Source organism: Homo sapiens, chromosome 2, assembly GCF_000001405.40.
Source record: "Homo sapiens chromosome 2, GRCh38.p14 Primary Assembly".
NCBI lineage: Eukaryota > Metazoa > Chordata > Mammalia > Primates > Hominidae > Homo > Homo sapiens.
The window spans coordinates 140844660-140857547 of NC_000002.12; the positions used below are offsets into that span (position 1 = coordinate 140844660).

Sequence of the window (12888 nt, forward strand, 5' to 3'; positions counted from 1 at the left end):
TCAGGAAGTTTAATTTTCCAGTTCTGGGGTCTCTCATTTCTTGAACTAAGACTAATCATGAAGTATAATCTGAAAAGTCCTTTATTGCCACAACACTGATGCATGAAAAATTGTAATTTTCAAATGCATTGTCGAGCTCATAAGACAGGAAAAACTCAACATGCTAACACACACTCACACATTAGCTAAAACTATCAAGGAAAACAAAATGGGATTATAGAAGTGGGTGCAATTATAGAGACAAATACTTGTGCTGAGAATTGAGAGCTTCATGGAGTATGAATTGCTCAGTGTAAAAGGGTTCAATCCTTAAACTTACAAAGAATGGGTGAGCTAAGTAAGAGTGATCTTCTGGGTATAGACACACCCTAGTGAAAGATGAGTGAGAGAAAAAAGATACCTGCTTATAAAGGAGAACAATTAAAAAATAAAAACAAAACTTTTTTTCTGTCCTTTCACTGGCAAAAAACAAACAAACAAACAAACAAAAACACACAAACACAAACACCTGAATTCCTAAGAACAGGTCTCTACTGTGCTACTAGAAACTACTAGCTTATATATGAGAAATCCACTGTGCTAGTAAAGATTAGTAGCCATAAGAAATCCACTGGTGATTTCTGGGTCAGCTATTATTTTATTGAATGAGTCTTCATTGAGAACCTACTATTTGTCCTAACTGCAAAACCAAAGAAAGGGAAAAATAAAGTTAAACTGATTCCTGGTTTATAGTGTCTACTTTTCTCTCCATCAATAAAAAATTCAAGTCTTCTGTAAAAGAAAAAATTTATTCAACCCAAGACTCACACTTCCCATTAAGTTCATCCTCGTAACAGAACAAAAAAAATTAAAACACACACAAAGAAATGAGATATACGAGAACAGTTAAAAGAAAAAAAAACAAAAGGTCCAATCCTCCAAAATCTACATATTCATAAATTATTATATGTAGGATAAAGACAAGGTGGAATATCTTAATGGAATAAATGATGCTTTGAATAATAATAAGCACAATGATTCCTTTTAAAAGATTCTTTTGGAAGCATGAGAACCAAAAATATCTTGTGATATTAAAAAATATAATATAAAAAAGTAATTTTTGAATGTGTAAAATAGCAGTTTAGGCACAGTTCAACTAGTGAACTACAAAACAAATTGAAAGAAGTTAACAGAGTTAGCACAGAGAAACAAAGAAATTAAGCGAGTTGGAAGGCAGAATGAATAGTCCAACACATTTATTAAAGTCCAACACATAAATTAGAGTTTACAAATTATAGAGTACAAAGACTGAGTTAGAGAAAACAGAGGATTTTGAGGATTTCTTTCCCCTGGATTGATGAAAGACAGGGCCCCATGGAAGATACAACTCTAGGTAGCAAAATATAGATATTATAATGAGGAAAAAGCAAAGATGTTACAAGTAGCTAGAGAGCAAAGAGACATCACCAAAAGAATGACAATTAGAAAAACAAGTGGATTCTCAATAGCAATAGGGGAAGTCAAAAGATAGTGGGATACTATCTACAAAGGAATGATAGAAAATAGCTCTCAACTTGGAGTTTTGTACTGAAGAAAATTATTTTGAAACTATTTGCTCCAAGCTACTTACAGCAAATAGCTCATGTGAGCAATATATACATTAAGAACAGCTTGGTGTTTCAGGACATGTAGAATGAAAAGGCTGGCAAACTATTTCTACCTCCCCTCACGAAAGCCTGAACCAAGGAGCTAGTGTTTGTCTCAGAAAATTAGCTGGGCATGGTGGCGGGTGCCTGTAATCCCAGCTACTCGGGAGGCTGAGGAAGGAAAATCACTTGAACCCAGGAGGAGGAGTTTGCAGTGAGCCCAGATTGTGCCACTACACTCCAGCCTGGGAAATAAGAGCAAAACTACTTCTAAAATAAAAAAGAAAGAAAGAAAATGGCCCACTTGAGAAGAAAATAATGGGAGATGATAGGCACAGTGAATTTATTTGGGGCCCAATTTTTGAAGCTGACCCCACATTATATTTAGACTAAGGAAGGTAAGAAAATAAAGTCTCTCAAGAAGAAGCCCAATAGAGAGACGAGAGCTAAGTGAGAAAATACAGAGACCCACAGTGCAAGAAGAGAAAGGTTTCCACAGAGTCATTCATGGAATTTCTAAAAGATGAAAGGATAAAACAAAGTACAATTACTGGTGGAATTTGAGATCCTTTGATGAGTTCAGATGCTAAACTGTCAAAAGTTTATCTCAAGTTTTTCTGCTAATGGAAAGATATATCCATCTTTAACAAAGTTTCATTCTGGAAAAAATTGAAAGGCAACATTATTCAGCCTGTGGAGTAAGTCAGAAATGGAATCATCCTTGACAATGCCTATTCCTCAAACTTTATGTCCAATTGATTGTTAAGTTCCTTTATGTTCTTACTCTTTGATATCTCTATAATTTGTGCATGTTCCTCCATCTGTGTTTTCCCCAGCCTAGTCTAGGCTTCTGATATCTCTTACTAGAGCCACTGTAACAGCCAACTAATCTGTCTCTCAGAGTTCACTGCTCATCTACTCCCAACCCATAGAACTCTCTACTAAACACAGTAGCTAAAGTGGCCTCTTCCAAAGGCAAAGCTCTTCATGTTGTCATACCCTCCCTGAAGCACTTCCTTAATTCCCATTATTTTCAGAATTAACATAAACATTAAAAACTTATCTTATAAAGGTTGACATAATTTGGCGTCTATTTCATTAGATCTTTCAGCTTGTACAGATACATCCCTCTCATTCTGTGCTCCATACCATTCAGTCTGTCTTGGCTCTCCTTAAGTTTCTTACTATATAGAAAATGTTCAGGCTGGGCGCAGTGGTTCACGCCTGTAATCCCAGCACTTTGGGAGACAGAGGTGGGTGGATCATGTGGTCAGGAGTTTGAGACCAGCCTGGCCAATGTGGTGAAACCCCATCTCTACTAAAAACACAAAAATTAGCCAGGCATGGTGGTGTGCACCTATAATCCCAGCTACTCAGGAGGCTGAGGTAGGAGAATAGCTTGAACCCTGGAGGCAGAGTTTGCAGTAAGCCAAGATAGCACCACTGCACTCCAGCCTGGGACAGAGTGAGACTGCATCTAAAAAAAAAAAAAGAAGAAAGAAAAGAAAATGTTCCAATATTTTTCAAAATGACTGAATCTGTAATTATTGCTCCTAATGAGTATATGTATTAATTATTAGTGAGAAAACATTTTTGCTCAAATTTTGGTTGATAATTGTGAATAGAGTCTGCTAAATAGAAGTAAGTCTTGATGATTTTCTCAAAGATAAACTCACCAAATTACTACCAGATACCAGTTCATAATTAAAGACAGAAAATTGTCTCCTATTTTTTTTTAAGATATAACATCTTTTGCTCTTTATAATTCACAGAGCCTTTTGGATAATATTAAATATTTATAATAAAGTACTTGAACATTTTTCTGTCAGACTTTGGTGAATTTCTTGAGGGAAGACCACCTAACTGATTGTCAATCTTCAGAGACACCTAATGTCCTTTACTTGGTCTTTCAAGGAATTTAATGACATTTCATCAGTCATTATTGTTCTTTTTAATCCAGTCTAACAATGCTTATCCAACCACATTTGCCCCTGCCCTTGTAAAAAAATTCTGAACAAAGAGGAAATCTTTGCATTTGCTTTTTTATAAAAATTCTTGTTTTTCAGCAAGTTCGAAATAAATATTTGAACAAGCTTATAGCCAAACCATTCAATAAATTTTTTTAAACAGTGCTAACCTGAGATCAGAAAAGAGCTAGCTTAAATACAACTGTATTTCAGTGGTCAAATACTCTCAGATCTATTAATGGTACTCAAGCTAGCCTTCTAGTATTGAAAAGGATAGTGAATAAAATCTACACTTCCTATTGCCTTCATTATGACATTTACCATTGCTCAAATATGTCTGACTTTAAATTTTCAATAGACTTGAAAGCATAGGTGTTTGATGCATTTATATGGATTACTGATTACTCTTTTCTCCATTCCCCTCCAAATCCTTCTACCAAATTTAGGTTGAAGAGAAACTGCGTCTTTGGATATTCAGTCATGGCAAATAGTAAGTGCTCAATAAAGACACATTCAATAAAATAATAACTGACCCTGAAATCACAATGTGCCAAACTTTAAGCAAATATTAGGATAATTCAATGCTAAAAATTTAGAACTCCACCATGACATGTACATGTATGTCTCACTTCATATATGTTCTCAGTGTTGGGACAAGTTACTCCTATTTTTGTAATGGTTAGTTGTACAGCATTCTCTTAGAACCTATAATTCAACCTGCTGGATCAGGAAATAGGAACAGTTTTCCTGTTTTATATGTTAGTCTAGGTCTGTAAAAATATGTGCAAAGGGAAGTTGCTTATAAGCTTAAGTAGGGGAGGGAGGCCGGGCATGGTGGCTCACAGCTGTAATCCCAGCACTTTGGGAGGCCAAGGCGGGTGGATTGCGAGGTCAGGAGTTCAAGACTAGCCTGGCCAAGATGCTGAAACCCTGTATCTACTAAAAATACAAAAAAAAAAAAAAAAAAAAAAAATAGCCAGGTGTGGTGGTGGGTGCCTGTAATCCCAGCTACTCAAGAGGCTGAGGCAGAGAATTGCTTGAACCTGGTAGATGGAGGTTGCAGTGAGCCGAGATCGTGCCACTGCGCTGCAGCCTGGGTGACAGAATGAGACTCTGTCTCAAAAAAAAAACAAAAAACAAAAAACAAAAAACAAAATCCAAAAAAAAAAAAACAGGGAAGCCAGTCCTTCCTAATATCCTATATTTTCTCTATGCAAATGTAACTATTCCTCCATCAGAAAAAAAGACACTTTAAGTCTATTTATTTAGACATGTAAATTTTTTTTTAATTTTTATTTTTTTGGAGAGATGGAGTTTTGCTCTTCTTGCCCATGCTGGAGCACAATGACATGATCTTGGTTCACTGCAACCTCCGCCTGCCAGGTTCAAGTGATTTTCCTGCCTCAGTCTCCCAAGTAGCTGGGATTACATGTGTGCACCACCACATTTGGCTAATTTTGTATTTTTAGTAGAGACAGGGTTTCACCGTGTTGGTTCAGGCTGGTCTCGAACTCCTGACCTCAAGTGATCCACCCGCCTCGGCCTCCCAAAGTGCCGGGATTACCGCTGTGAGCCACCGTGCCCAGCCGAGAAATCTAAATTTTAAGGTGATCTGTCCTGAAGTTTTTCTTCACATGAATGTAAATTTCTAATTATCAGTCTGCTCTGTGCAATTTAATTATACCATTCTACAATAGTAAGGATGTAGCATATTATTAAATCTCTAATCAATTCTAACTTTCAATTAACAGCATAAAGTTGAATAAAAGAGAAAGAATATAAAAGATTTGTGATTATTACAAACTGAATAACAAACACTTTTAAAGTTGTAACATGTACGAATCTTTTACCTCTTGAAATAACAGTTTCTAACCCAGTTCCGTTAATAAAAGCTCGTTTAATGGTTTGTGTTTTAATATCTGTCCAGTATAAACGTTCCTCAGATGCATCGAAGTCTATCACAGTAACGTCATCAATATCAGGGACTGTAAATGCCGTGATGAAGTTAAAGTATGGATTGTCAATATCCACTCCTCTGATTTCAGAACGTCTTGCATAAAGAAGAAATTTTTTCATTTCTAAAAAAGAAATAGAAATTCTTTTCTCTTATGAAGTTGGCAAGCTTGAAAGTCTAGAAATTCTAAAATATTACTTGATTTAATACATGTTAACTCCCAAAAATCACAATCAATATTTGATGGAAACAATGCAGTAACAATTTATCTATTTTAAATTAAGGTATTTAATAGAAACAAATATGAAATGAGTTAGAAGCCTTACATCATCATTTTTCTTTAGCTAGAAACACCCAAACATTCTCAGTAATCAATTCTCACTGACCTTAGAATTTCGAAGTTGCTAAACTACATAAACTACGAGTGTCGGATACCATATTTGTACTTTGTACGTAATTACTACAATATTGTATTGCATTACAAGATTTTGAGGGAATCTAACAACTTTTTTCTATACTGTCTTTGAATAAGATAAAATTAAACACGCTATTAGAAATCTTGTATATATTTTTCCTATAAAAATTAGGGTTCAAATAATTTAAAGCGTGCTTTTAGTGTATTTTTTTTGTAAATTTGTAGTAACTAACATTGTGAGGCGTTATATCACTTTACTTCCTTGCACTACATTTGTAAAATATCAGAGCCAATAGAAATAGTAGTTACAGATATTCTATTTTGTTGTTGTTGTCTTTCAGGTTATTGGTGTTGAGATATGTTATTATGGTGTAAATTAAAGCTACATGTACCTAAACTCCTGACTTTTAAATTTTGGTGAGTACTTTTTTTCTGTCCTTAAAATTAAGTAATATTTTGCAAATAAATAAAATTATTAATAGAAAGCAAAAAATTTTATTCACAAAATTTATCTTTTTTAGTTCAAATGCATTGTTTAAATGTGTGGAGTTTTTTTTACAAATCTTTCCAAGTTATATATTTTATTTCACTTTTCCCCCTTTCAAGTTGATAATCCTGTACCAAATGATGCTAGAGTGACTTTAGAAGAGCAGATTAAAGCTGTTAAGCGCCTCTTTGTTATGCAGGTTACCTACATCATCATTTTCTGATAATGCACTTTCACTTAAAAATCTTCCTGTTTTGCAGAGATAAACTCTGCTAACGTACCAAATAAGAAAGTAGCAGGAAAAAAAATCAATAAGGTAACAAATAACAAAGTACAACATATCACATATTTAAAGAATTTGTCAGTCTTCCCCAGAGCAGATGAATCATCAATAGTGGATGGAAATAGCACCACCACCTAAAATATTTTTGAAAACAGAAAAAAAAACTTCCTCTGCTTTAATATGAGTAAAATCTGAATGCTAATATAATTTGAGAGAATTCAATTTTGTTTTTATTTTCGATTAGAACTGTAAGAAATTTACCATAGCAGGTCTTCTTGTCTGAAGAAAGCTTCATCAAGTGGGGGCACGCACAGGCAGCACTCCTATTGTGATTGATTAGACACATGTGAGAGCAGGGGCCTTTGCCATCATTAGCTGCACAAGGATTGGGAGCTGTAATTACACAGTGAAATATGAACAGTGAAGAAGGAAGAATGTATTAGGGAAGCTCTGAGGTTGACAGGGGTTATTCACCTAATGATTCAAAGTAAAGTTTCCTACATAGAACCCATTAGTAGGGTGATTAATATGACAATAATAGACAATCATACACAGCAATTACATTAATAAAAAAACATTATTTCAAAGATAACTAAGAAAACTCCATCAATTCTCTCTTAGACAAATGGCATGCATCCTATTGCTTCGAGGTAGTGGCCGGATGTGGTTGCTCACGCCTGTCATCCCAGCACTTTGGGAGGCCAAGGCAGGCAGATCACGAGGTCAGGAGATTGGGACCATCCTGGCTAACACCATGAAACCCCATCTCTACTAAAAATACAAAAAATTTGCCGAGCGTGGTGACACACACCTCTAGTCCCAGCTAGTCAGGAGGCTGAGGCAGGAGAATCACTTGAACCCGGGAGGCGGAGGTTGCAGTTAGCCAAGACTGCGCCACCACACTCCAACCTGGGTGACAGAGTGAGACTCCATCTCAAAAAGAAACAAACAAAAAAAGACGTCAAGACTTTTTAAGGAGTTAGTTTGAGGAGCAACCAGGAATAATTAGTGAATTTAATATAAAATAAACTAAGATAGACTATAACCCAGACATTGGAAGTTGCAATAGATGTTGTTATTTTCTTAACCAACCATGAAGGTTCCCTTCTTGCCTTGGCACACCACTTTTAGAGGCTTCCCTAGGAAACTACTGGTACATATATACCTTTCCTTCAAACACGTGCTCTTCTTCAAATGAGGCCTATGTGAAGAAATGTCTGTCTGCCTTCATGATTAAGTCATCTACTTCTTTGTTACTTTTTCTGTATTAACTAATTCCATGGCTAAGGATTGCTCCACATGTACATACTTACTCAATTCCCTTGTATAAATGACTTATGATTTTTCAAATTGAGAACAGAATATTAAATTTTGCAGCTCAATGTCATTCTGTGACAGCACTGAATGTCTTGGGACATTTTGAATTTTATGTTCCTTGTTCTGTCATCATGTCTTTTGGATAAGATTTTAATTTATCTAGTATCTTTAATCTTATTTTTATAGAACCTATCTAGTAGAAAAAAGTCACTAGAACTAGGCTACGAAATTGAAGGCAAAAAAGCGTTATTCTTGTAGCCCCATCAAGAAAATGTTAGCTTTCAACTCATGAGTGGTATCTTCCAACCATGTCCCCTTGCTCAAAGTAGTGATAGGGTTGAGACATGCCCAATATGCCACCTTTGCCCATTAGAAAATGACAGAAGCAGGAAGGTCTCTGTGACCTTCCCTCCACCCCTCTTTCCTGAAACAGGTCATGAAAGCTAGAAAGGATTTTCTGACCTCCCCTGAAGCAGGTCACAAACTCTCATGTAGAGGTGCCCTTCCTAAGCCCTGAGGAAAGGAATATCCTTGTCTCTGAAGACACAGGGACACAGAAAAGAATCTGAACAACAGGCCTTGCTAAGTTTCCCCAGTTTATTACCATTAGATCATACCTCCTAGCATAAAACTACCGAGATTTTAACCATTTCTTCAGGTCTTTATTTCCTCAGAAGGCTCCTATGTCATATAATACTTGTATTAAGTTTGTGTACTTTTTTGGGTAATCTGTCTTTCGTTACAGACCTCAGCCATGAACCTGAGATGGGTAGAGAAAAGGTATTTCCTCCCTCTTACAGAAGTAAATAGCAGTCCTGTGGTGTTTTAAAACACAAAGAATAAAAAAGAGATAATAAAAAGGTAGAGGATATGAGAAATGAACTGAATTTGATAAATATTCAATGCAGCTTTTGGCAATTTTTAACATTCCTTACATCAAGATGATAAAAGTAATAGTGTCTTTGTATTTGTTAAAAACAATAAATAAATAAAGGAGAATAAGAGACTCACAAAAAACTCATTCTCCTAAGAAAATTAAGAACAAAAGATAATAGAAAAGAGTAGAAGCTTTTGTTCCAGAGATTCCTTTCTACTGCACTTCTTTTGTCACACAGAGTAAGTAGTTCTTATTTTGTTCTTTGTTATCTTTTGATTTTGTCTGTTATAATAATTGAAGTCCCTAAGGAATCGCAAGTTAGAGAAGCAAGAAAGTAGGTGGGAAGGGAAGGCAGAAAGGTGTTGCAGGACAGGAGGAGGAGTGAGTAAGAGGCAGTGTTAAGTGTCATATATCAAGTCAAGTTTACCTAGTCAGGTAGATAGAAAGAGAAAACTCAAATTCCCCCATATCTGAATAAAAAAAAAAAAAAAAGAAGAAAATGAAGGAGAAAAGAAAAAAGAGAGGAGTAAAAGGGAAGACAAGAAGGAAAAAAAAGTTTGTTCAAAAACACTAGCATAGGAAATGCTATTTCTCAGGAAAATTAAAAGCATAATCCATAACAGTCTAATGGTAGGTACTTGAATTTCACTTTGAACATCATTATTTTTAGGCCAGAATCATACCAACCCTTAACACCCTACAATTATGAAAAAATATATATTTTTGAAGGCAGAGATATTAAGTTTCTATGTACATACTAAAATTAAAAATTGCATTGACTTTGTAGCCCAATATCTTATCAATGATAACACTGTAATGTATAATTCACAATATTTTGTGCTTCATAGATTGAAAAATCCACAAAGAATTCTTACTTTTCATTTTCATCTCTTCTCACTTTCAAGGATTTAACAATATTATTTCAAAGTTTCTTTCCAAACAAGTGCTTGAACACAGCTACCTATTCTATTCCAATTACCAAATTTAAAAATACTGTTCATAATACTCACATTTTTATAGAAAGCAGGGATTAGCAGACACGAACCCATGAGACAAATCTGGTCCACTGACTGTTTTTGTAAATAAAGTTTTATTGAAACATAACCACGTGCATTGGTTTACATATTAGCCATGGCTGTTATCATACTGCAATAGTAGAATTGAACAGCTTCAATAAAAACCACATGGCCCACAAAGCCTTATAATATGTACCTATTATAATTAGATAGTAAGTAGCTATTTTATAAGAGACACTACTGCAAAATCCAGTATGATTACAGAGGCTATAAACTTCTACCAAAGCCAAGCCTATTCCATGTATTTGTATTCAAAAGATGGGAAAGCCATTGATCAATGGAGTGCTATAATAAATCTTAACAGATGAAATATAAATACAGCTGGGCAGACTGGGTTCACTGATAGCTCATATTGTCTAAACTCAAACTGATGAAATATAGAACCTTAGAGATATACCTGTAATAACCCCCACCTTTTATTTATGCATTAAATAAAACATTATGAAGTATCTAGTTGTTTAAAACACTGTGAAAAAAAGCTGAGATACAATAGTGGACGAGTTCTTACCCCAAGGTGCTTAAGGTTCTATACACTAACCTGGTACTCAACTCTCTTCAATTCTATGGTCACTGGCTCAATTTAGGTTTTCTCCATTTCCTGCATGGATTGTTGCGCTAAACTCCTAACTAATCTTTGATATCTAGTATCCCTGCATTACATACAGTTGTTGTCTTTGTAGAACACATACTTGATTATATCTGGTTTCTTTAAAAATTTGGGGCCAGGCACGCCAATAATCCCAGCACTTTGGGAGGCTGAAGTGGGAGGATTGCTTAAGCCCAGTAGCTAGAGACCAGCCTAGGCAAGACAGGTAGGTCCCATCTCTACTGGGAAAAAAAAAAAATTTGAATGGCTTCCCACAGTCTACCTCACAAAGTGTCGGCTTTATCTCCTACTATTAATGTTTCCCCCAAGAATCCTCAGCACTAGTCAGACTGGTTTCCCTGCTACTACCATTTACCCTCCAGCTCTTTATTCTGATCCACTCTCTTGTTTATTTTTGTTAAAGAAGTTATCAAGGCCAGGTATGGTGGCTCACATCTGTAATCCCAGGGCTTTGGGAGGCCAAGATAAGAGGATCCCTTGAGCCCAGGATTTTGAAGTTGCAGTGAGCTATGATCATACCACTGCACTCCAGCCTGGCCCACAGAGCGAGACTGTCTCTAAAAGCAGGTAAACAAAAAACAAAACAGAAATCATAAACCTTCCAAAAACACAAAATTTTTACTCCAAAGCATTTTTTTATTTCATTTTCACTGCCAAATTTAATCCTTTCTCAAGTATTGTACAGATTTTCTCTAATACGTGTTTCCTTTCTTTTTACCTCTACTCCTCCAACATGTTTCCAAATTCATTTCCTCACCTTTGAATGATTGCTATGGCTATGTATCTGGTACATTGTGATACTGTCCCAAATATACCCACCTCTCTTTCAAAAACACAAATCTATCTTCCAAGCCTCATCTACCACTTTCCTTCTACATACACATTGTGTACACACTAAAATGTATTCGTCACTATTCCCTAAATATCTATATTCTTTTCCACCTCCACATGATGTACTTTTCTTCCCCTAGAATTTCATCATCAGTATCTTTACATTAACCTTCCTTCATGTCTCAGCTCAATTCATCTTTCTGCCGTAAAACATTTTCTAATGAAGCCAGCTAATGCTGATTTCTTTCATCACGAAATATTGGTTATAATTATTGCTTTTACACAGCAATTAGACAATTTATTGCTTGCTGTCCTATTTTCTAATTAGTGACATTTGTTCATATATTTTGTATTAGTATGTGTTGGTCTTTCTAGCTAAACCAGTGGTTGGCAAGCTTTTTCTATTAAAGGCCAGATGGTAGATATTTGGACTTTTGCAGGCTTTATGTTCTCCATAGTAATTATTCAACTCTGCTACTATAACACAAAAGCAGCCACAAAACAATACGTGAATGAAGAGGTGTGACTGTGTGAAAATAAAACTTTATTTACAAGACAGAGGGCTGAATTTAGCCTGAGGGTTGTACTTTGTCACTCTCTGAGCTAGACAGGTGATACGCTGGCGGGAACTAAGAGAGATACACACACACACACACACACACACACACACACACACACACACATTGTTTTTTCCTAAAATTTCTATGGTATCTATTATTGTGTTAGAGGTAGGGACATTTGGATTCATATGCATGTACGTAAATGTATGTGGGTATATATTCTAAAATTGCAGCAATCTAAAAATCTAGAAAGTTAATTTTCTAAAGCACATCATAGCTTCAGGTGAAAAGATTAAATAATGCATAACTACAATACTTCATAGGAGAAATGTGTTAATTGTGCAATCACACAAGACTGATGTGTGCTCTGGGAAGAAAAATAATATCATTAAATATAATTTCACATTTGATTCAAACTGTATTTAATTATAGTCCGTTTCTCACCAGGGAAAAGAAAAAAACACTTTAAATCCAAACAACCAGTTTTTCCAATAAATTCAAATAAAATACACATAAATGTTCATGCAATATAAAATATGTATATTTGTTTACCTAATAAAATCATGCTCAAAGCAGAATGCCAGGATCCAATTTGTTAGGTAGAGAAAGATTTTTCTCCCTCCCATGTAGTCATTTTTGATAGTAACTAATATTCATCCTGTTAATGAACCTTATTTGTATGAGAACAATTACTCTTGTAATAAAATAATGTTTATTAGTAATTTTCCTTTAGGAAAGGACTTATTAGTTTTAAAGAAAGGAATTTTCAGAAGTACTTTGCAATTAACCACTAATCTGAAATCCTATTTTCCCTATGACAGACATCTTCAAGTGATAAGTTTAACATTTCACATTGAAGAACTTGAGTGAATTCCTTATTTAAAATATA

The 12888-nt window shown here is 35.1% G+C and overlaps 1 protein-coding gene across 3 annotated transcripts in view; it reads right to left on the minus strand.

Moving 5' to 3' along the window:
• LRP1B (LDL receptor related protein 1B) overlaps positions 1–12888 on the minus strand; it is a 1899594-nt gene that overhangs the window by 613237 nt on the left and 1273469 nt on the right. For all 3 annotated transcript variants that reach the window (NM_018557.3, XM_017004341.2, XM_047444771.1), the window contains exons 28-29: positions 6993–7124; positions 5443–5670 (exon numbers count right to left, since the gene is read on the minus strand). In NM_018557.3, coding sequence (NP_061027.2) covers positions 5443–5670; positions 6993–7124 — 360 coding nt within the window. The remainder of the gene's footprint in view (positions 1–5442; positions 5671–6992; positions 7125–12888) is intronic.